The 24346-nt window shown below is 47.7% G+C and overlaps 1 protein-coding gene and 1 pseudogene across 23 annotated transcripts in view, besides 3 other annotated features; one reads left to right on the top strand and one right to left on the bottom strand.

Moving 5' to 3' along the window:
• The window catches only part of KATNAL2 (katanin catalytic subunit A1 like 2), a 184650-nt gene that overhangs the window by 27973 nt on the left and 132331 nt on the right, over positions 1-24346 (top strand). For 16 of the 23 annotated variants that reach the window (NR_148563.1, NM_001353899.1, NM_001353900.1 and 13 more), the window contains exons 2-3: positions 491-709; positions 1288-1357. Coding sequence is in view for 14 of the 23 variants with exons in the window: in NM_001353899.1 (NP_001340828.1) it covers positions 651-709; positions 1288-1357 (129 nt within the window). In the remaining 9 variants the exon portion in view is untranslated. Of the gene's footprint in view, positions 1-490; positions 981-1230; positions 1358-24346 lie in introns of those variants that run through there. The other 7 variants (NM_001353904.1, NM_001353901.1, NM_001353907.1 and 4 more) reach the window with 3 other exon arrangements.
• Positions 1128-1287: a silencer, noted in NCBI's record as "silent region_9423". NCBI's record gives its function as "represses an Ori minimal core promoter by ATAC-STARR-seq in GM12878 lymphoblastoid cells {active_cell/tissue: GM12878}" and the evidence as "EXISTENCE:reporter gene assay evidence [ECO:0000049][PMID:35858748]".
• On the bottom strand, positions 17102-18942 carry ELOA3DP (elongin A3 family member D, pseudogene; annotated as a pseudogene).
• Positions 21468-21967: an enhancer, noted in NCBI's record as "H3K4me1 hESC enhancer chr18:44546997-44547496 (GRCh37/hg19 assembly coordinates)". NCBI's record gives its function as "activates a minimal SCP1, AML or CMV promoter by ChIP-STARR-seq in primed H9 embryonic stem cells {active_cell/tissue: H9 hESC(primed)}" and the evidence as "EXISTENCE:reporter gene assay evidence [ECO:0000049][PMID:30033119]".
• Positions 21691-21891: a silencer, noted in NCBI's record as "peak3136 fragment used in MPRA reporter construct". NCBI's record gives its function as "represses an SCP1 promoter by STARR-seq MPRAs in K562 erythroleukemia cells {active_cell/tissue: K562}" and the evidence as "EXISTENCE:reporter gene assay evidence [ECO:0000049][PMID:32103011]".

Genomic DNA, 24346 nt, shown 5'->3' on the forward strand with positions numbered 1-24346 from the left:
GGCATAGTGAAAAGAGCACTGGCTTCAGTCAGGAAACAGGTTTGCATCCTAACTCTATCTAGAACTACTTATTAATAATTTGGCTTTTTGGGCCTGTTTGCATAACTGCAAATTGGGGCATTAATAACTTCTCCATGTTGTGTTAGGATTATATTAGATAGCCAAGTAAATCGCATAGTACGTTGGTGCTGTAGATGTTTAATAAATTACAGTTATGATTATTAATTAGAAAGTGGTCAACAATTTCACATGGTGCCAAGTTGGAATAAGATAAAGAATATTAAATAATCTGTAATCGGATTTCCCAATTAGGAAGTTATTGACGACTCTGGAAAGAACTGCTTCAAAGGAGCAGGACCAGAATGTGTTGAGAAATGGGTGGAAGGTGAGGAAATGAGGAAGAGGATAGCTAGTCCTTTCAGAAAGCTTGCCCTGAATGGGAGAAAGGTGATTCAGTTCAACACTTACGAGAACTTTTTTTTTTTTGTAGATTGAGGAAACTTGAATATTTTTGTATCCTGAAGGGAGAAATGGATGAAGAAGAAATGGATGAAGAAGACCGAAGATAATGATGAAGGGATAATTTGGAATAGGATTCACAGCAAGAGAGACAGAAGGGAAAGACATTGAAGAAACAGACTAGTTAACACATGAAAAAAATAGAGCAGAGGAAAACACGTCCATGTTTTTCCACGTCTAATGAGAACAGGTCTGATGTGAAAGGAATTGGAGGAGAAGGGGAAGTTTGGTGATGCACAGTTTGCATCCCAGAAGGCTCTTGACAACCAAAGTGTCCACAGCAGATTCGTCCAGTCTAGATAGACCATGCACAGAGAATTTCAAAGAAAAGCAGAATAGATTTCCAAACCTTTACCCTAATCCAGGGAGGAGAAGACGGGACGTCAAAATATAGTCTTGGGTATAGAAGCATTGGGTCGCAAAGACCTGAACAACGGCTGAAATCAAGGACAAATATTATGGTACATGGCCCTGGGTCAGCTTGTATTTTAGAAACGAATTAAGAAAACCAAAACAATTGCAAAGCCCGCCCTGTGCTCTAACAATCTTCCCTCTTCGATCTCTTCATTGGCCAGTGTCATGCAAACACTCTGGATTAAACATGCATGGTCTAACATTGATTGGCATGTTAAAGAATCCTTCTGTGGCCAGCGATTGGCGGGCGTGTCTGGGCTCTAGCCAATCCGGAAAGGGGCGGGCTGGTTAAGCGTCAGGTTCCTTGGATCGACCGGTCAGCCCAGTAACTGACTACTTTTCTCCCTTCTCTAGGGTCCTAGCACAGTGTCTGATGGAGCTTTCCTACCAGACCCTGAAATTCACGCATCAGGCGCGGGAAGCGGTAAGGAACGCATATATAAAACATGATTATACCAAGAACCCCTCTCCTACTGTTGCTGCGGGACGATTCCGAGTCTCCGGTTGCTATGGCGACAGAGTCCGCTACTAGAGAAGCGCAAACGCAGTGAGAGGCGCTCGGCCGAGGTGGTTAAATCCCGGGCTGGGCTTGCAGCCGTGATGGAGGGAAAAATAAATGAGACACAGGCGGGTTTGGGGGTGACAACGGGTCGGATGAAAGGGACGGCAGGGTCGGTTCCTGATTGAGGAAATGAGGTATTGACGGGGAGGTGTTATTAGACTCTGGATCTTGATTGGGTGAATGGATTTGGGGAGTGGTCAAAATTAGATTGTTGAAAGACAGGAAAACATTGACCTGGGAGTTAGTTAGAATATTGGCTTCTGATCCTGATTTGCCATCACTAAGGCGAGAGATCTTAGGCATTTAATTCCCCTCTTGGGCTTCAGTTTCTCCATCTGAAAGTCAGGGAATTGGACTGTAATCTTTTTCACACGAAGATTACATGAGCTCTACAATACATTAAGTGGTTTACCGTGGTCTGTATCACCTGCTACTGGCCAGCAATTCTTTCCACAGCGATGAACATGAATTGAGGACACATTTGTCTGCCAGGCACTGGGGAGATAAAAACAACGTGGGGGCGGGGGGAAGGAAAAATAAAAATAAAGTTAAAAAATACTTCTACCTGGATCTCATTCCTAGAGGTTCAGAATTACTGGCTTGGGATGAGTTCTATGCATCAGTATTTTTAGAAAGCTCAAGAGGTGATTACAGTGTGTAGCCAAGGTTATGAACCACAGCTCTAGTATCTCCTACCTTTTAAAAACTAATAATACACAAAAAGGTAACCCTCTGGCTTCATACCCATTATGGTTACCAGCCTCTGTTTATTTCTCTCCATCTTCTAGAAAAGGTTGGCTACACATGTTGTTGCTAATTCCTCACCTCCGGATTGTACTTAAGCCTATTTTAATCTCAGCATGAACTACCCGCCTCAGAATCTTTTGGGTTACCCTTTAATAGAGCAGATTCTTGGGCCTCATGAAGACACTGAATCAGAAACCCCCGGGATGATTTCTTGAAACTTGCACTTTAAGCACGAACTCTACGTTTGAAAAACACAGCCGTAAACGTTCTCATATATTTTCATGACTTCTAGTACTATCTTTTAAAAATTTATCTTTTTGGAGACAGAGTCTTGCTCTGTCGCCCAGGCTGGAGTGCAGTGGCATGATCTCAGCTCACTGCAGCCTCCACCTGCCGGGTTCAAGTGATTTTCCTGCCTCAGCCTCCCGAGTAGCTGGGACTGCAGTTATGCGCCACCATGCCCAGCTAACTTTTTGTATTTTTAGTAGAGACAGGGTTTCACCATGTTGCCCAGTTTGGTCTCGAACTTTTGAGCTCAGGCAATCTTCCCCCCTCAGCCTCCCAAAGTGCTAGGATAACAGGCATGAACCAACATGCCTGGCCGACTTCTTCTTCTTCTTTTTTTTTTTTTTTGAGTCGGAGTTTTGCTCTTGTTGCCCGGGCTGGAGTGCAATGGTGTGATCTTGGCTCACCGCAACCTCTGCCTCCTGGTTTCAAGTGATTCTCCTGCCTCAGCCTCCCGAGTACCTGGGATTACAGGCATGTGCCACCATGCCCAGCTAATTTGTTTGTTTGTTTTAGTAGAGATGGGGTTTCTCCATGTTGGTCAGGCAGGTCTTGAACTCCTGACCTCAGGTGATCCGCCTGCCTTGGCCTCCCAAAGTGCTGGGATTACAAGCATGAGCCACCATGCTCGGCCAAACTTCTAATACTATCTATATACCAAAAACTCCCCCAACCTACCTCAACTGGACTTCTTTGTTAAGCCCCAGACCAATGATCCAGAAGATAAAATATGGGTAGGACAATGGATCAACTGATTACTTGACATATCTACTGGGGTGTTGCAAGTATCTGCATTGTGTGTGTGTGTGTGTGTGTGTGTGTGTGTTTGAGACAGGGTTTCACTGTCATTCAGGCTGGAGTGCAGTGGTGCAATCATGGCTCACTGTAGTCTCACCCTGCTCAAGGGATCCTCCTGCCTCAGCCTTTCAAGTAGCGGGAACTACAGGCATGCAACACCATGCCCGGCTAATTTTTCTGTATATTTAGTAGAAATGGGTTTTGCCATGTTGTCCAGGCTGGTCTTGAACTCCTAGGCTCAAGTGATCCTCCCACCTCGGCCTCCCACGGTGCTGGAATTATAGGCATGAGCCACTGTGCCTTGCATCTTAACTTGTTTAATGCCTAACTACTTCTCCTCCTTCTCCTTTTCCTTTTCTCCTTCTCCTTCTTCTTTTCTTCAACAGGGTCTTATTCTGTCACCCAGGCTGGAATGCAGTGGTGTGATCTCAGCTCACTGCAACCTCCGTCTCCCAGGCTCAGGTGATTCCCCCACCTCAACCTCCCAAGTAGCTGGAACCACAGGCATGTACCATCACACGTGGTTAAATTTTGTATTTTTTGTAGAGTTTCACCATGTTGCCTGGGCTGGTCTCAAACTCCTGGGCTCAAGTGATCAGCCTGCCTTGGCCTCCCAAAGTCCTCGGATTACAAGCGTGAGCCTTCGTGTCTGGCTTAATGCTTAACTTTTGAATGTCCTCTCTAAAACCTGTACCTTTCCCAGTCTTTCCCCATAGGGGAAGCCACCCCAGTGAAACCACCATTCATCCGATTGCTCAAATCGTAATTCTGGGGGTTATCCTTAGCTCCTTCTTTCTCCTAGTCCCTCTCCTCTGTCCTCTACAAGAGGAAGACATCAGCAAATCTTATTGATTCTACTTCTATATTGTATCTTTAATAATCCATATATTCACATCCACCTCCTGATCTAAACCTCCATGCCCTGTCACTGGAACCACATTAATAGCATCTTAGCTATTACCCCTTGGTTTTTGCCTCTCTTCAGTCCAACCTTCATCCAATGATCAGGGTGATTTTCTTAAAATAGTGCCACTCTTTTAATGGGATCCTTTTAATGCCTTTCCATTACACTTGGGATAAACCCTCCAAATCTTGACAAGACCTACAAAGCACTGCAATAAAGCCCAACCTCTGCCTCCATGCTTTTCCTCTCCATTTTCTGTGTTGCCTCTCAGTGCTCCAGCCACATTCTCCCTAATCTAACGTCTGACAACTCCATAGCATTTATGCCATAAATTTAGTATTTAATTGGATTAATTATATTGTTATCTGTTGCTTGCATGTAACAGATAATATAAATTTCTTGGAACTTGAAAGCAAGGCAGGAACTCAAGCCTTATTTTTTGTTTTAGTCCCTAGATGGCGCTAAGAGCAATATTTAGGTATGCTCACTGATGGTTTGATCTCTTGGGGTCTATGTGCAAGGAATTGTGCTGAGTAGGGGTCTGGAGAAGCTGGAGGAGGGGATGTGATCCAGTGTGTTAGATATAAAGAGGACTGCACGTCCACAAGACATTCTGATTACCTACATCATCTACTGTATTGGGATTTTCAGAATATTTTCTTTGTATTTGGTTTATTTTTGTTGTTTCAAATTATTTATTTACAAATATATTTTCAGTTTTTAATTTTTAACAAAGTAATGGCAGCACATCACTTAAAATTATAATAGTTCAACAAAATTTGAAAAAAAACGAATCTCCTGCTTCACCTCAACTGGCCCTTACTTAATTACTGCTCCCCAGAAGCAACTGCTTCGACTTGTAGCAGCTTCTTCAAAATAACATGTTTATACTCTTTTTCTTTTTTTGAGACAGAGTTTCACTCTTGATGCCCAGGCTAGAGTGCAATGGTGTGATCTCGGCTCACCACAACCTCCACCTCCTGGGTTCAAGCGACTCTCCTGCCTCAGCCTCCTGAGTAGCTGGGGCTACAGGCGCCCACCACCACACCCGGCTAATTTTGTATTTTTAGTAGAGACGGAGTTTCTCCATGTTGGCCGGGCTGGTCTCGAACTCCCAACCTCAGGTGATCTGCCTGCCTCGGCCTCCCAAAGTGCTGGGATTACAGGCGTGAGCCACCGTGCCCGGCGATGTTCATACTCCTGAAGCTTGATTTTTCATTCTCAGTTATAGTCGACTCACTTTTATGAAGATAAGCACTGAACTCCCTTCTACTTCTCCCTGTCCCTGGCCTCCTCCCACCATCAGTATGTATTTCCCTTCCCTCATTCTCTCAACACGGAGAGAAATTCTATCATAATTTTCATTAAATCAATTTTCAGTATTAATATTAATCCGATTGTATAAATACTATTTAGAGCTGAGCCATACAGTGCACTTTGGTTATATTTTATATTTTATTTAACTTTTGGGACAAGACTCAATCATATATTAACCAATGCATTCTTCTTTGGTTTACTTTTCTGTATATTTGATACCACTTCCTTCCTAGACTTTCCAACAGAACTGTAAAATTCTCAATGTGGGGAAGCTAATCAGGTAATTTCTAAGTCTGATTTTTTTTTTTTTTTTTTACTGGGTGGTATCTTTTCTGGATCTCTGAGATTCTCCTGCTGTGTCAACTCATTGCTCTTTGGGCGTACTATACAGCTTTTTTTTTTTCCTAGGAAATCCCTTCCTCCCTTCCCTGTGTTAGAAATCCTGCTTCCTGGGCTCCATGTCTTCCCCTTCTTGCCCTATATCCCTCTTGTAGTGAAACATATCAACCAATAACTATCTGAGAAAAGATATATGGGAGGTAAAGTTTTGGAAACAAAGTATCTATGAAACTTCTCCTCTCACCTTGATTGGTGATTTGGCTCAGGTTAATACTCTAGGTTGGGACTGATTTCATCTCAATGGAGAAGGCATTGCTCCATTACTTTTTTAATTAATTAATTAATTATTTTGAGCAGGGTCTTGCTCTGTCAGCAGTGGCCCGACCTTGGCTCACTGTAACCTCCACCTCCCGGGTTCAAGCTATTATTCCCAGGCCTCAGCCTCCCAAGTAGTTAGGATTACAGGGGTGCGCCACCATGCCCGGCTAACTTTCTATTTTTAGTAGACATGGGGTTTCACCACGTTGCCCAGGCTGGTCTCAACCTCCTGGCCTCAAGTGCTCCACCTGCCTTGACCTCCCAAAGTGCTGGGATTACAGGCATGAGCCACCATGCTAGGCCCCAGTTTCTTTCTTTCTTTTTTAGAGACAGACAAAGTCTCTCCCAGGCTGGAGTGCATTGGCATGATTTAGCTCATTGCAGCCTTGAATTCTTGGGCACAAATGATCCTCCCACCTCAGCATCCCAAGTAGCTGGGACTACAAATGTGCACCACCACACCTGGTTAAATTTTTTTATTTTTTGTAGAGACAGGGATCTCACTATGTTGCACAGGCTGGTTTCAAACCCCTGGCCTCAAGTGATCTTCCCCCACCCACCACCTAGGCCTGCTAAAGTGCTGGGATTATAGGCATGAGCCATTGCACTCAGCCTGCAGGTATGTTTTTTTTTTTTTTTTTTTTTTTTGAGATGGAGTCTCACTCTGTCACCCAGGCTGGAGTGCAATGGTGCGATGTCAGCTCACTGCAACCTCCGCCTCCCGGGTTCAAGCGATTCTCCTGTCTCAGCCTCCCGAGTAGCTGGGACTCTAGGTGCGTACCACCACGCCCGGCTAACTTTTGTATTTTTAGTAGAGACGGAAGTTTAACCATATTGGTCAGGCTGATCTCGAACTCCTGACCTCATGATCCACCTGCCTCGGCCTTCTGAAGTGTTGGGATTACAGGCGTGAGCCACTGCCCCTGGCCCAGGTATGTTTTTTATTGATGGTTGAATGTTCCTTTTTCACTGTATCCTGTTCTTGCAAGATGTCATGCTTTCTTTCGTCTCTCTGAGGAGGTTTTCCTTTCCTTCCTGCCTGCCTTTCTTTTTCTTTCTTTTGTTTCCTTCCTCCCTTCTCTTTGTTTCCTTCCCTCCCTCCCTCCCTGCTTCCTTCCTTCTTTTTTTTTTTTTTTTTTTTTTGAGGCGGAGTCTCGCTCTGTTGCCGAGGCTGGAGTACAGTGGCACGATCTCGGCTCACTGCAACCTCTGCCTCTCAGGTTCAACCGATTCTCCTGACTCAGCCTTCTGAGTAACTGGGACTACAGGCATGTGCCACCATGCCTGGCTAATTTTTTTAAGTTTTAGTAGAGACGGGGTTTCACCGTGTTAGCCAGGATGGTCTCGATCTCCTGACCTCGTCATCTGCCCGCCTCAGCTTCCCAAAGTGCTGGGATTACAGGCGTGAGCCACCGCTCCCGGCACCTTCCTCCTTTTCTTTTTCTTTCTTTCTTCTAACATTTTCTCTGTTTCCCCTTATGTTCCTTTTTGCATTTTTTAATTTGTGGTTTTGTCTTTCATGTGGGATATTTTCCTCAAAAGTCAGTGATACAGGGTTGTCCATTTATTTTTAAGAATGAGTCATCTAGGCTGGGCATAGTGGCTCACACCACTAATGCCAACACTTTGGGAGGCCAAGGCAGGCGGAGCGCTTGAGGCCAGAGGTCGAGACCAGCCTGGGCAACGTGATGAAACCCTGTGTCTACTAAAAATAGAAAGTTAGCTGGGCATGGTGGCACCACCCCTGTGTTAGAGGTGGGAGGGGTGCTTAAGTCCAGGAGTTTGAGACCAGCGTGGGCAACATAGTTAGACCTCATCTCAACAAAAAATAAGCAAAATGAACTGAGCATGGTGACAAGTGCTGGTGGTCTCAGCTACCTGGAGGGCTAAAGTGGCAAGATCACTTGGGACCGGCAGGTTGAGGCTGCAGTGAGCCGTGATCACACCACTGTACTCCAACCTAGGCGACACATGGAGACCCCGTCTCAAAAAAAAAAAGATATAAAAAATGAGACACCTAAAATTTAATTAGAATTTTTGTGTTTTAGAGGAGGCTTGTCTCACAAAGACAGTTTTTCTGTAGGATAATCAGGTACCAGGGCCCTTTTCATTGGGGGATGCCAAATGTCAGTTATGTGTAGGTCTTTTTTCTGAGGCCTTCCATTTCTATGCTCTCCTTCAGGGAATAAGGGCAAAATAAGTTTGGTTGCCAGCAGTGTTGGAGAGAACAGAGGAAGACTTTGTGGGGGTGAAAGCAGGGAATGGAAGGTGGGGTTTCACCTCTCTCTTCAGTATATACGCTTCCACTGAATTATCCCTTTCTTCAGGTAGTCCAGGTAGTCCTGGTAGTCCCGTCTTCTGCCTGGGTAGGGGAGGAATTGTAACCTGATTGGAGAAGGGGAGGGAATCTGCAATACCCTGTTCAGCATGCTCTTTATACCTCACTTCTGCCCTTGGAGGTGCCTGATGACTCCAGAGGAACCTGGTGTCCCCATTCCTGTAACTTTCTAGGGTTCTGTTATATGTTTTCTTCTCCTTCTTCTTCTTCTTCTTCGTCTTTTTTTTTTTTTTTTTTTTCCTGAGATGGAGTCTTGCTCTGTCACCAGGCGGGAGTATAGTGGCATGATCTCGGCTCACTGCAACCTCTGCCTCCCATGTTCAAGCGATTCTCCTGTCTCAGTCTCCTGAGTAGCTGGGACTACAGGTGTGTGCCACCATGCCAAGCTAATTTTTCTATTTTTAGTACAGACAGGGTTTCACCATGTTGGCCAGGATGGTCTTGATTTCTTGACCTCGTGATCTGCCCACCTTGGCCTCCCAGAGTGCTGGGATTACAGGTGTGAGCCCCCGCGCCTGGCATCTTCTTTTGTTTTTTGGGTTTTTTTGAGACAAAAGAAGTCTGACTTGATTGTCACCCAGGCTGGAGTACAATGGCGCAATTTCAGCTCACTGCAACCTCTGCCTCCTGGGTTCAAGCAATTCTCCCACCTCAGCCTCCAGAGTAGCTGGGACTACAGGCGTATGCCACCACACCTGGCTAATTTTCGTATTTTATTTTTATTTTTGGTAGAGAGGGTTTCAACATGTTGACCAGGCTGGTCTTGAGCTCCTGACCTCAAGTGATCCACCTGCCTCGGCCTCCCAAAGTGCTGGGATTATAGACATGAGCCACTGTGCCTGGCCTCTGCTTCTTATTGGCTTCTTTCCCTGTAGGTGTTGGTTTTCTCTATTTTTGGTTTTCTTTGCTTTTGGCTTTCTTTGCTTTAAGTCAGCTGGTGTTTATCCATTTGCTTCCCCTGTGTCAATTTCCTTCCTCCCTCCCTTCCTCCCTCCCTCCCTTCCTTCCTTTTGTCTTTCTTTCTTTCTCTCTCTCTTTCTTTCTTTCTTTCTTTCTTTCTTTCTTTCTTTCTTTCTTTCCTCTCTCTTTTTCTTTCTCTCTCTCTCTGTCTTTCTTTTTTTTTTTTGAGACAAAGTTTCACTCTTGTTGCCCAGGCTGGAGTGCAATGGCACAATCTCAGCTCACCGCAACTTCTGCCTCCCAGGTTCAAGTGATTCTCCTGCCTCAGCCTCCCAAGTAACTGGGATTACAGGCATGCGCCACCACGCCTGGCTAATTTTGTATTTTTTTTTTTTAAGTAGAGACGGGGTTTCTTCTTGTTGATCGGGCTGGTCTTGAACTCCTGACCTCAGGTGATCCGTCTGCCTTGGCCTCCCAAAGTGCTGGAATTACAGGCGTTCTACCGCGCCTGACGCTTCCTTCCTTCCTTCCTTCTTTATTTCTTTCATTCTTTCTTTCTGTGTTTGTTTGGAAACAGGGTCTCACCGTTTTGCCCAGGCTGGAATGCATTGGTGCCATCAAGGCTCACTGCAGCCTTGGGCTCAATCTACCCTCCTGCTTCAGCCTCTGGAGTAGCTGGGGCCACAGGCATGCACCACTATTCCCGGCTAATTTTTAAATTTTTTGTAGAGATGGGGGTCTCCTTATGTTGCTCAGGCCAGTCTTGAACTCCTGTCCTCACACAATCCTCCCACTTCAGCCTTCCACAGTGCTGGGATTACAGGTGTGAGCCACCTTGCCTGGTTTGGGTCATAGATTTTTTATTCCTTTATCATCATTTTAATAAGGCTTTGGGAGGGAGCAGAGATAAGTGATATCAAGAACACTTTTTATTTAGATATTTATTGAGTGCCTACTGGGTACAAAGAATCCTACTAGTTGCTCTTGCAGAGGTTGGTTTCAGAGAAGTGAATATTTAAAAAATTGACTAACATATGATTCATATCTAAAATATTTTTAAAATTGATTTCAAGCTAGGCATTTGTCACACATGTTTATATATTCAAATTTAGTTTTCAATATGGTTATTTCTTTGGATATTGTAGGGTCTGGTGGCTGAGCATGAGAGTGGGTATTAGATGCTTTTGAATTTATATCTTGGTTTTCACCGATTAACAGTAAGGCAAATATGCATTTATTCATTAACTCATACGATAAACGCAATTTAGTGCCTGCTTTCTGTACAACATGGTACTGGTGTTTTGAGATTTGCCTAAATGGGATTAGTGACACTAACACTACTGATTATTTTTAGAAAGGCCATTTTCTCTTGGTTTTCATGATACTACCGTCTCTTTGTTTCCTACATTTCTTTCTGGTCTCCTTGATGAGCTGCTCTCTCTCTGCCCCTTAAATTCTTGTTCTTTAGGATCTAAATTTGTCTTTTCTGACCAGCCCCTTTACCAATTTAATAAAGTGTCCCTTCTTGATTCAGGGAGTAGATATCACCACACCATTCTTATCCCAGGAAATTATATTTGAATGTTTACTGGTTGCTTTCTTCCCCCCATCCCAGTAGACTGTAGGCTCCTTAAGAGCAAGAACTCTGGCAAGTTTCTTTTCTGACTAGCAAATTGATCTTGCTTTTGCAGAGCTTCTCAGTCTTTAGTGTGCACATTAAACACCTGGGAGGTTTTGAAAATTCATATGATGAGGCCAGGCATGGTGGCTCATGCCTGTAATCCCAGCACTTTGGGAGGCTGAGGCAGGCAGATCACCTGAGGTCAGGAGTTCCAGACCATCCTGACCAATATGATGAAACCCCATCTCTACTACAAATACAAAAATTAGCCAGGCGTGGTGGCATGCACCTGTAATCCCAGCTATTTGGGAGGCTGAGACAAGAGAATTGGTTGAACCTGGGAGGTGGAGTTTGCGGTGAGCCAAGATCATGCCATTCAGCCTGGGACACAAGAGCGAAACTCCGTCTCAAAAAAAAAAAAAAAAAGAAAAAGAAAATTCATATTCTGATCCAGAAGTTTTGGAGTGGGACTGCTTTGCCAGTTAATTTTATGTGTCAACTTGACTGTGCTTTGGGGTGCCCAGGCATTTGGTCAACATTATCCTTGACTGTCTGTGAAGGTGTTTCGGGGTGAGACTAACGTTTGAATCAGTAGATTGAGAAAAGCAGATTGCCCTCTTCTTTTTTTTTTTTTTTTTTTTTTTTGAGACGGAGTCTCGCTGTCGCCCAGGCTGGAGTGCAGTGGCGCGGTCTCGGCTCACTGCAGGCTCCGCCCCCCGGGGTTCACGCCATTCTCTTGCCTCAGCCTCCCGAGTAGCTGGGACTACAGGCGCCCGCCACCTCACCCGGCTAATTTTTTGTATTTTTAGTAGAGACGGTGTTTCACCGTGTTAGCCAGGACGGTCTCCATCTACTGAACTCGTGATCTGCCCGCCTTGGCCTCCCAAAGTGCTGGGATTACAGGCGTGAACCACCGCGCCTGGCCTTTTTTTTTTTTTTTTTTTTTTTTTTGAGACAGAGTTTCACTCTTGTTGCCCAGGCTGGAGTGCAATGGCACGATCTCGGCTCACTGAAACCTCTGCCTCCCAGGTTCAAGCGATTCTCTTGCCTCAGCCTCCCAAGTATCTGGGATTACAGGCATGTGCCATCACGCCTGGCTAATTTTGTATTTTTAGTAGAGACAGGGTTTCTCCATGTTGGTCAGGCTGGTCTCAAACTCCCGACCTCAGGTGATCTGCCGGCCTCGGCCTCCCAAAGTGCTGAGAATACAGGCGTGAGCCACCGCGCCCAGCCTAATTATTGTATTTTTAGTAGAGACGGGGTTTCACCATATTGGCCAGGATGGTCTCCATCTCCTGACCTCGTGATCCATCTGCCTCAGCCTCCCAAAGTGCTGGGATTACAGGTGTGAGCCACCGCACCTGGCCAGATTGCCCTCTTTAATGTGGATTGGCCTCATCCAATCAGTCAAAGGTCTGAGTAGAATAAAAGACTGACCCTCCCACATGTAAGAGGGAATTCCTACTTTCTGACTGTCTTTAAACTGGGACAGCGTTTTGTTTTTTTTTTCTGCATTTGGACTCAAACTGAAATATTGGCTTTTCCTGAGTCTTGAGTCTGGCTGCTTTTAGATTAGAACCACACCATCTACTCTCCTGGTTCGGGGGCCTTCAGACTTGGACTGAAACTATATCATTGGCTCTTCTGGTTCTCCAGCTTGTTGACTGCAGATCTTGGGACCTGTCAGCTTCTATAATCACATGAGCGTTATAATAATAAATCCTTATAATTATAAATTCCCTATAATAAATCTAGTAAATAATAAATAATCTAGTACAAAATAATCTAGTAAATAATAAATCTAGTAAAAAAATACACACATATATTTATACATACACATGTGCATGCGTGTGCGTGTGTATGCATGTTTGTATAATTTGTTCTGCCTGTCTGGAGAGCTGTGACTAACACAGATTTGTATCACAAGCTTCTATGTTTTATTTCTGATGCTGCTGGTGATCTTCTGGTAGCAAAGATATGAAATAGAGATTTTTCTCCAACTCCGTTTTAAATTTAGTGTTTAATACAAATAAGACTATACGTAATCTGTATACCTCTGCCACTTTCTTTTTCTTAACCTGAATGTAAGAATCCTCTATAATGCTCTAAGGCCAAAGAATTATGTCATTGTTTTTAATTTGGCTGCACAATTAAAAACAAACAAAAAAATAATTAGAGTCAATGCACGATAATGGTTTTTGGAAAACTGGAATTGATCCACACATTCATGTGTATGCACAAAAGAATCCTAAAACAAAGTCATGTTTGTTTATTCTCATGTGTCATTATACGTACTTTTCAAAAGTTACTACTCTGCCTTGGTGAACCTTTTATATTACAAAATATCGACTGTGTTAGCTAATTAATAAGGTCATTGACTAGTTTTTAAAATGAGTGTTGTTAAAATGCCTTAGTTTTTATTAATCGCATGGGCTCCTAAAAAAAGAGTAATTGAAAATTTAATTACATCAGTGCTTTTCTTCAAATAACTGAAGCTTATTAAACTTCAAATGTTCAAACATTTAAGCATCTATTGAAATACCAATAGCTATAAAAAATGTGCAGTTCTAAACACTAATTAAACAAACTCTAAATAACCATAAAGCTAAGCTGAATTTTAAATAACTCTTACGTTTTAAGTGCTCTGTTCCGCTCATATACAAGGAAGATTAACCCCTTCAATTCTGACCACTGCTACAGCCCTGTGGGCATCTCTTAAAATGCTGTGGCTGCTATTGAACCACTTTCTTCTTATACTTGGACCAAAAAGGAGAGACTAATTAGACAACCTGGAACATGTTGCTAATGCCACATTAGTACTCTTGGAACCTTTTTTTTAAAAAAAACTAACTGAGAATATACAGACATAAATTTGTGTATTTCATGTTTTGTGTGAAAACATACTTGCTTTCTTTTGTAAAAATAATGTTTGTTAGGTTTTACTTTTAATTTAATTTTTTTTGGAGACAGAGTCCCTCTTTGTCACCCAGGCTGGAGTACAGTAGCAAAACCTTCGCTCACTGCAACCTCCGCCTCCCAGGTTCAAGTTTTTCTCCTGTCTCAGCCTCCTGAGTAGCTGAGATTACAGGCGTCCGCCACCATGCCCGGCTAATTTTTGTATTTTTTAGTAGAGATGGAGTTTCACCATGTTGGCCAGGCTGGCCTCAAACTCCTGACTTCAAGTGATCTGCCCGCCTCGGCCTCCCAAAATGCTGAGGTTACAGGTGTGAGCCACCACGCCTGGCCAGGTTTTAATTTTAAATACTCAAAGTATAAATTTCACCACCCAAATACATCCTATAAACATTTTAAAAAATTGATATGACCTTCTACTTTCAACTGAGATGGCATAATTGGCACCAGACCAGGTCTCCTGTAAGAAACTGGAAAACTGGACTAAACATATGAGTAAACTCTTTTCAAGCATTGGATTATGTGATTTTTGGACAACGTAATTATGAGAGAAGGCCTTCTATTTGGAAGCAATAACTAGATTCTGGTTCTGGAAGGAGAACCCCAAAAAAGCGGCTGGGCACTGTGGCTCATGCCTATAATCCCAGCACTTTGGGAGGCCCAGGTAGGTGGATCACCTGAAGGTCAGGCATTTGAGACTAATCTCACCAACATGGTGAAACCTCATCTCTACTAAAAATATAAAAAATTAGCTGGGCATGGTGGTGGGCGCCTGTAATGCCAGCTACTCGGGAGGCTAATTGCTTGAACTGGGGTGGGTGGAGGTTATAGTGAACCGAGATTGCTCCATTGCACTCCAGCCTGGGCAACCCAAGAGCGAAACTTCAAAAAAAAAAAAAATGAACAGCAGTTTTGCTAAGATGAAGCGATAGAGATTGGAGTTTGGGAAGACTGAGTTGCTTAGAACTGGGAGGGAAGAGTTTCAGAGAGGAGGAGCTATGCAAAAAAAGAGCTCCACAATTATTGATTTTTGGCTGAATACTGAGCTGCACATACATAGAGGAAAAACATATGAAGCTGCTCTCATAACATTTAGAGACATTTGCATTATGACTGACTTAAGTGGAGAAATCTTGTGGGACAGAAGAGCATTTAGTAGAGCTCCAAGTAAGGCTATGCATAAGAGTAAGCAAAGCCAGGCACAGCCTAGAATAAAGGCTACTTTAGATATCCCTTACCTAACAAAGCTTAACAACAAGCTCTGATATGAAGAAACTGATTTGCAAGTAACTAAACTGTAGAGGGACGAGACGCGGACAAAACCCCTCAGACACCGGGTTAAAGAAGGAAGTGGCTTTATTTGGCTGGGAGTGTCAGCAGACTTGCGTCTTAAGAACTGAGCTCCCTAAAAAAGAAATTATTGGCCCTTTTAAGGGCTTACAACACTAAGGGGACCACGTTAAAGGGTCATGATAGATCAAGCAAACATGGGGGACATAACTAAGGGCTACATGCATTAGCTAATACAACAGAAAGTTTTGCAATGCTTCCTCATACAATGTCTGGAATTTACAGATAACACAAGTAGTTTAGGTCAGGGGTAGATTTTTTAATTTTTTTCTTTAACTACAAGGACCAGGTGGTGGCTCCAGGCCATCTGGCTATTTATCTTACTTTTGTTTCCTTTTAACTTTTCGCTTTCTCCCTTTCCTCACGTCTTAAAAACTAGGCAAGGTGGCAGGGGCGGTGGGGGTGGGGGTGGGTAGCAGGAGAAGTGGTGGTCCCCACCTCATTTCCCCTGTAGAGAATCTCACTTATTATGGGGAGTTCTCACTTTCATCATCAGTTTTTAAGTCTCTGTACATGATAGAGTGACAGCGATTCATGTAATACACTTGTGTTGAAGTTTTCTGATAAACAAAGGTAGCAACAAAAACTTTTATCATTTGTAGGAGCAAGGGTAATACACAGGGGAAGAGCAAGCAACTTCCTATTACTAGCAATAAACTTACAATGAGGGTTTTAAATTCTCCCCTAGCTGAAAGACATTTTTCAAATACAGACATAGGATTAAACCTCTGCCAAACCTATACAGGCATATGTGCCAACGTTGTCACATCCCTGACCATATTTTTGACCACCAATTTTTGAAAATCTATTGGCAGACAGCAATTGCTCAAGTTGAATTTTTCACAGACCTGATATTCAGGTGAGAGAAAATAGTCCAAGGCCAGTCTATTTTGATAAATGGCATTTTTGATTTGGGCTTTCTGCTAGGTAAAAAAGTCAAAACACTGCCAGTTTTGTCAGTGATTATTTTTAGGAGGGCCTGCAACCGTATGATATGATTGAGAATGTAGATGGGGGTTTGCTACTAAGAATATAAGTTTTTAAGAGCTACACACTTGAATTTCAGGGAGTCTGCGGAAAGAGCTACAGTTATCTTCAGGCATTAACATTTTTCCTTTCTAAGTCTACTGGTCTTGTATGTTAGTCCTTCCAAAAATATAATATGAGGAAATGCATAGGCTGCTGGCACTATTTTCAGCCACTTGAGCAAATAGGATTTTGGCTCAGCCCTCTAAGAAGCTGGGACCACAGGGGCCGTGCCACCACGCCGGGCTCATTTTGGTATCTTTTGTGGAGACGGGGTTTCTCCGTTTGGCCCAGCCTGTTCTCCACCTCCTGGGCTGCAGCGATCTGCTTTCCTCGGCCTCCCAGAGGAGGATGGCCGACGATTACAGGATCATGCCCGGCCTTTTCCCTAAAAGAAAACACCAACAGCAACAAAACATTTTGCGTAGTCGGAGTTATCAGTGTCAACTGGTGGATTGAGAGTTTGTGTCTAAGAAGTCCTTCCTTATGCACTGGATGATTTCAAAAGAAAGGAGAAAAGACAAAAGGGAATCTCACATCTTGTACCTGATTTATGATTGCAACTAGGGCGTTATTTAAAAGACGATCAGTGAACCACCAAAGTAGAATTGATCCGAATGCGTTCATAATATCTTCTGAATTCTGAGGTGTCCTCCAAGCAGGGAGGCAGTGGCTGGGTGTGGGAGGCAAAAATCACAGGGCCAGCACTTGACACCTGCAGGATTCGGAGGCTCAACTTTGCACCAAGCCAAGGGTTCTGGTGTCCGTCGCAAGTTTCGTTCCCCAACCCGCATTGACTTTGCATTGGCCCTCCTCCCCCCAGATTTTATCCGTAAGGCAAGTCCTGAGTTTATCGTCGGGAGAATCTTCCCTTGTAGTCTCGAATTGCCTTGGCCATCAGCGGGGCCACTTTCTTGGCAGCCTGTTTTCGGGTTTTGTCCGCGGGCGCCGCGTGCCGGTTGCTGCTGCCGCCGCCGCTCACGCTGCCGCCGTCGCCGTCCCCGAGGCCGGAGGGAGCCTGGCTGCTTCCTGCGGGCTTGGGGGCTGGCTCCATCTCTCCATTTCCGGGGTCAGCGGCTCCTGCAGACTTCTCTTGCCTCCTGGAAGCATCATAAGGCGTCTTGGCCACAGAGTTGAAACAGATCATCTTTGTCTGTCGGCCGCTGGGTTTGTTTTCACGTGCGGATCGGATTTTCGTGGTCACTACTCGCAGCCGCTGCTCTCGGGCGTCCCGAAGCCGCAGGTACAGCTCCCGCCAAGACTCGTGCTCCTGTGGCTTTTCTTCCTTGAAGTCCTGGAGGCAATGAATCCTCCATAATTCATCTGTCTCTCGAGCGAGTGCGGCATTGTCTTTCTCTGTGCGGTACGGCTGATCGGGCGTCCACCCTTCCAGAACGGGTTCAAGAGCCGAGTAGGGGACCCCTTCCACGTCGCCGAGGGCGTCCGGATTGTTCCTAGGCACCCGGAGGCACTGCTGGCGCAGCGTCGGCACCTGGAGCTGGCAGGCAGGCCTGGAGCCCGAGTACACCGGCATCTTAGCGTTCACTCTGCGTCCAGGGAAAGCAGCTTCCTCCTGGAGCGTTGGCGCGGAGAGTGCTTCTGGGTTTGCCTGGGAGGTCATGGCCTCAAAAGCGGACAGCAGATCGTAGTTGGCCTGCATCCAGGCCTCTGAGGGGTCCCAGAGCTCCGAGAAGACATGGCTGGGCACCGTTTTCGGCCCGGCGGAATCAGCGACGGCCGCCTGCAGCCTCTCTGACTGGCTTTCCTGGACAGGAGGCGATTTCTGAGCCGAAGCCCCGCGGGACGATTTGTGCCCCTTGCTGTGGCTCCCCACCGCTTCCCCCTGGGGTTGGCCCTGGCAGCCTTGACCCAGCAGAGGCCCGCCCTGAGCGGCGTGAGCGTGGCCTCTTCCGGGTTGCTCCCCGGGCACAGCGGGCTCAGGGCCCTCGGGCATCGGGAGGGGAGCGGTGCGCGTTGGAGGGTCCCGATGGGGGCCGGAATCAGCTGGGGCCATTCTGGGGCGCTTTCTCTCGGCTCTGGGCTCGCGACTGGGAGACCTCGGGTGAGGTCTCTGTTGCCCCGGAGGTGTTCTGCGTGCTGTCCGTCTGTGCTCAGGGCTGTGAGATGGGCTCCTGGGGGCCGTCGCGTTTTCTGGGAAGCCCCAGGCCTTTTCCCGCTCCTGAAGAGCCTCCCCGAAGCGCTGTCGGGAAGCGCTCTCCTCAGGGTCCTGCGGGTCAGGCCCGGTGTTTCGGTCCACGAGCACCAGCTTCTTCCACCGGGCCGCTAAGTCTCTGGCAAAGTCGCCCACGTGCTGGTGCTTCCGCAGGCGCTTCACCGTCTTTCTGATTCCAGTCTCCGCCAGGATGTCTGCGGTCATGGGCAAGGCGGAGAGTTTCTGCAAATATTTCTCTAGCTTTTTCGGCTCCGTCTTAGTGGCCAGACGCACCTGCAGCTTCCCCACTGCGCGCAGCGTAGTGGACCCTGCCGCCATCTCGCCAGAGCTGTGCAGGCGTCGCTGTCCTCGCGGTCGCGGCTCTGTCCGAGCTCGGGGCGGCGGCACAGGCAGTCTGGGGTGGCCGGTCCTCGCTGCCCGGTCGCCAGGCGGCGACCTCGGGATGTGGAGTCACAGCCTGGAGCGAGCTGGGTCCTCGGAGCAGCGGGCCACTTGGTCTGGAACGCCGGTCCTTGCAGACAGCTGAGCAGGCCCGCTTCTGTTCCTCGGGATGTGCGGCCGCAGCCTGGAGTGTGACCTGTGCGGTGCGCCGTCCAAGGCGGAGTGAAGCTCCGCTGCCAGAGCCCGGCCTTATATAGCCAGCCCCGGGCCCACCCAGGGCTCAAGCCCTGACCCCCCTGGGCCCCTGGGCTGCCCCGCCCCGATAGGAATTCATTCCGTCAGCCCAACGCAGCCAATCGGGGCGGTCCACGCCAGGTGGACTGCTGTGCCCCGCGGGGTCATTAGGTTAATTGCAGCCTGGACACACCCCACTGAGTTCTACCGTTGGCCCTCCATGTACCCAGCTTCCACATCTGTGGATTCCAAAAGACACAGAGAGAATCTTCTTGGGAGTAAAAGCGAAAATAACAACACCGCAAGACAGAATCGTAGGAAGAAGAACCAACAGAGGATGACAACTCTTTACCTGGGATTGACGTTGTGTGAGGGGACTTGGAAACATTGGTAGAAAAGTGGGATTAAGGGAGAGAGAGGAAACAGGCGTATTTTACTCCTCAACCTCGGCTCCATCAGCATCAAGACCCTTCTGGAAGCAGTGTCTTTTCCCCGCCGTCTAGCCCATCCCTTAAAGCCCCCAGGGTCCTGGGAATTTAACTATTTCCATGCAATCTTTTTTCCATTGTTAACTGAAGAAAACTGGGTGCCCCTTACAGGTTTTCCAAGACAAGGAAACAAAGAGAAGTCAGCAGGCGCCAAATCAGGATTGTCAGGTGGACGCCTCACGGTTTCCCATGGCAAGTCTTGCCCAGCTGCCCTTGTTCGAAGAAAGGCATGATCAGGAACACTGTCGTGGTGGAGAAGAAGTCTCTGGTGGGGACCTTCTTCGCTCCAGCTTTGGCTAACTTTCTGAAAACGCTCTGCTAGCGAGCAGATGTGATCAGGGTTTGGCCCTGCAGAAAGTCAACCAGCAGAATCCCTCTAGCATCCCCGCCCCCCCCCCCCCGCCCCCAACGGTGGCCATGACCTCTGCTCTTGACTGCTCCTCTGCAGCTTCGACTGGAGCACTGCCACCTCTTGGTAGCCATGGCTTCGTGCTTGGTCTTCAGGATCCTGCCGGTAGAGCCAGGTTTCATCTCCTGTGACCAATCTTGGAAGAAATGCTTCAGGATCTTGCTCCCACCGGTTGTTTAAAATCTCCTCGGAAAGGCTTGCTCTGGCCTGCAGCTGATACTGGTGCCACGGTTTGGGCAGCCGAGTTCCACTCTCACCTTTCAGTCCAAATGAGGAAAACAGAACCATTTGAAGTGTCTATGGTGTCGGCTATTGTTTCTGCTGTCGGCGGCGATTTCGCGTAATGTTTACATTCTCACATGACTTTCTCTCTCTCTCTCTCAGTGTGTGTGTGTGTGTGTGTGTGTGTGTGTGTGTGTGTGTGTGTGTGTCTCTTCTGCAGAAAGATAATCGTTATAGCCTGAGAATCGGGGAATGGGGATTCGGGTGTTAAGCCTTTTCTGAGAATTACCCTCCGTGTTGTGCAGAGAAATAAGTAAATTTGCTGTGTTTCCAGACTTCCAGCTGCCTCACGAAGAGGATCGTAGTGCAATACTGGCGATGCCTCCAGAGCTCCCTGAATGAGGTTTATCTTGTAAATAGGTGGGAGGAGAATTGAGCTGTCCTGGGTCAGTGTAGTAATGTTACAGCAGGATCCTTAGGTTGATGCTGAATTCTATCTGGGGTAGATTTATATTTTGTGCGGGGGTTGTTTCCTTTCTGTGTTTTCGAGCGGGATTGTCGCTGTGGGAGCAGGGATCTGCTAAGGTTTGTCTCGTTCTCCAGTAATGAATGAGTTTAATGGGTGCAGCCGCTGTTTTCAGTAGCATGCCAGTGGGGGCATCGATGAGCTATGAGGGGCTAGAGCTTGCTCGGATTGTTTCCTTGTGTTTGTGTTTTGAGATGCGTTTGCTTGTGTCATGTTTGTTTTCCATTTTGGCAGGGGAAAGGTTTTCCAGGAAGAAAGGTTGTTGCCAGTGGATTTGGTTCCGAGGGGCTGGGGTTTCTGGCTGGGAGTGGGGAGGGGCTGCACGGTGATCGGTGGCTACTCCACCTCCAGAAAGAGCGTGTGGCTTCTCTGCCTCGGGGAGGATATTCTGCTCTCTTGTGAGTTTTGCAAGCCACCCGAGATTCTCTCTTGAATTGCTGTCAAGAAATAGAGACCGGCGTTGTCTCTGGCCCTCGCTGGGGAAGCTTTTCTGAGGTTTTGTTTTTTTAATTTGAGACGGAGTTTGGCTTTTGTTGTCCAGGCTGGAGTGCAATGGTGGCATCTGGGCTCACTGCAAACTCGGCCTCCCGGGTTCAAGCGATTCTCCCGTCTCAGCCCCCTGAGTAGCTGGGATTACAGGCGCTCGCCAGCAAGCCCAACCGAGTTTCGTCTTTTTAGAAGAGACGGGATTTCCTCATGTTGGTCAGGCTGGTCTGCAACTCCGGACGTCAGGGGGTCCGCCGGCCTCGACCTCCCAAAGCGATGGGAATAGAGGCGTGAGTCACCGTGCCCGGACATGTCTGAGTTTCACAGGGTCGCTGATTGGATTATGTCCCCTTCCCCGGAACGAATGCTTTTCTGTCTTCCTTAAGGGTAGTATCTCTGTGGCACCCTGTTCTGGCTCCTTACGTGTTCTTCAGGCTTGAAGGCCTCTTTTCACGTGCACCGGCATCCACTCAGGTGCCTGCTTCCAGAAGCTTCCCAGCACCCACTCTGCTGACAGCCAAGGGCACAGGACTTTGATCTCTTCTGCTGCCCTTGCTGGGTTTTGCCTTGCGGCTTAGGTCTTTCTATTTCTCTCTCTATCCCTCACTGTCGGTAACGCCTAAGAACCAAGTTTACTTAATGGTGTGTGTGTGTGTGTGTGTGTGTGCGCGCGCGCGTCCGTGTGCGTGCTCATGTGTGCGTGTGCGTGTGTGTGTGCGTGTCTTTCTTTGTGTGTATGTGTGTGTGTCGTATCTGGCACACGGACCTGTGATTACCAGCCCGCGTGAAGCCAACAAATGCCCTGAGTTAGAATGCAAACTTTCACCAAAGCTTGCAGGAGCTCGTAGGAGGTGAACTCAAGGTAGTTAACCCGGTCATCTCATGGTAATTAGAAACTCTGCTTGGCAGGTTTAGACTTCCTGATCGAGAACCTAAAGAAGCTGATTGAGGTGTCGCCATTCTTTCACAGGGGTTCTGGCTGAAAAGATTGGGATTGATTCTTTGCCGTGCTTAGTAAAAGTATTTTGACTTAAGGAACGTAGCAGTTGTTAGCATTTATGTATGAAATCCAGGAGTTCCTTTCTTCAGATAAACAGCAGGTTTCTTTGAGATGTGCTCCGCTTGTGTCACCCAGGCTGGAGTGCAGTGGAATGAGGAAGGGTCACTGCAGCCTCCGCTTGCCCAGCTCAGGCGATCCTGCCACCTCAGCCCTCTAAGAAGCTGGGACCACAGGGGCCGTGCCACCACGCCGGGCTCATTTTGGTATCTTTTGTGGAGACGGGGTTTCTCCGTTTGGCCCAGCCTGTTCTCCACCTCCTGGGCTGCAGCGATCTGCTTTCCTCGGCCTCCCAGAGGAGGATGGCCGACGATTACAGGATCATGCCCGGCCTTTTCCCTAAAAGAAAACACCAACAGCAACAAAACATTTTGCGTAGTCGGAGTTATCAGTGTCAACTGGTGGATTGAGAGTTTGTGTCTAAGAAGTCCTTCCTTATGCACTGGATGATTTCAAAAGAAAGGAGAAAAGACAAAAGGGAATCTCACATCTTGTACCTGATTTATGATTGCAACTAGGGCGTTATTTAAAAGACGATCAGTGAACCACCAAAGTAGAATTGATCCGAATGCGTTCATAATATCTTCTGAATTCTGAGGTGTCCTCCAAGCAGGGAGGCAGTGGCTGGGTGTGGGAGGCAAAAATCACAGGGCCAGCACTTGACACCTGCAGGATTCGGAGGCTCAACTTTGCACCAAGCCAAGGGTTCTGGTGTCCGTCGCAAGTTTCGTTCCCCAACCCGCATTGACTTTGCATTGGCCCTCCTCCCCCCAGATTTTATCCGTAAGGCAAGTCCTGAGTTTATCGTCGGGAGAATCTTCCCTTGTAGTCTCGAATTGCCTTGGCCATCAGCGGGGCCACTTTCTTGGCAGCCTGTTTTCGGGTTTTGTCCGCGGGCGCCGCGTGCCGGTTGCTGCTGCCGCCGCCGCTCACGCTGCCGCCGTCGCCGTCCCCGAGGCCGGAGGGAGCCTGGCTGCTTCCTGCGGGCTTGGGGGCTGGCTCCATCTCTCCATTTCCGGGGTCAGCGGCTCCTGCAGACTTCTCTTGCCTCCTGGAAGCATCATAAGGCGTCTTGGCCACAGAGTTGAAACAGATCATCTTTGTCTGTCGGCCGCTGGGTTTGTTTTCACGTGCGGATCGGATTTTCGTGGTCACTACTCGCAGCCGCTGCTCTCGGGCGTCCCGAAGCCGCAGGTACAGCTCCCGCCAAGACTCGTGCTCCTGTGGCTTTTCTTCCTTGAAGTCCTGGAGGCAATGAATCCTCCATAATTCATCTGTCTCTCGAGCGAGTGCGGCATTGTCTTTCTCTGTGCGGTACGGCTGATCGGGCGTCCACCCTTCCAGAACGGGTTCAAGAACCGAGTAGGGGACCCCTTCCACGTCGCCGAGGGCGTCCGGATTGTTCCTAGGCACCCGGAGGCACTGCTGGCGCAGCGTCGGCACCTGGAGCTGGCAGGCAGGCCTGGAGCCCGAGTACACCGGCATCTTAGCGTTCACTCTGCGTCCAGGGAAAGCAGCTTCCTCCTGGAGCGTTGGCGCGGAGAGTGCTTCTGGGTTTGCCTGGGAGGTCATGGCCTCAAAAGCGGACAGCAGATCGTAGTTGGCCTGCATCCAGGCCTCTGAGGGGTCCCAGAGCTCCGAGAAGACATGGCTGGGCACCGTTTTCGGCCCGGCGGAATCAGCGCCGGCCGCCTGCAGCCTCTCTGACTGGCTTTCCTGGACAGGAGGCGATTTCTGAGCCGAAGCCCCGCGGGACGATTTGTGCCCCTTGCTGTGGCTCCCCACCGCTTCCCCCTGGGGTTGGCCCTGGCAGCCTTGACCCAGCAGAGGCCCGCCCTGAGCGGCGTGAGCGTGGCCTCTTCCGGGTTGCTCCCCGGGCACAGCGGGCTCAGGGCCCTCGGGCATCGGGAGGGGAGCGGTGCGCGTTGGAGGGTCCCGATGGGGGCCGGAATCAGCTGGGGCCATTCTGGGGCGCTTTCTCTCGGCTCTGGGCTCGCGACTGGGAGACCTCGGGTGAGG

This window comes from Homo sapiens, chromosome 18 (assembly GCF_000001405.40).
Source record: "Homo sapiens chromosome 18, GRCh38.p14 Primary Assembly".
NCBI classification, from domain to species: domain Eukaryota; kingdom Metazoa; phylum Chordata; class Mammalia; order Primates; family Hominidae; genus Homo; species Homo sapiens.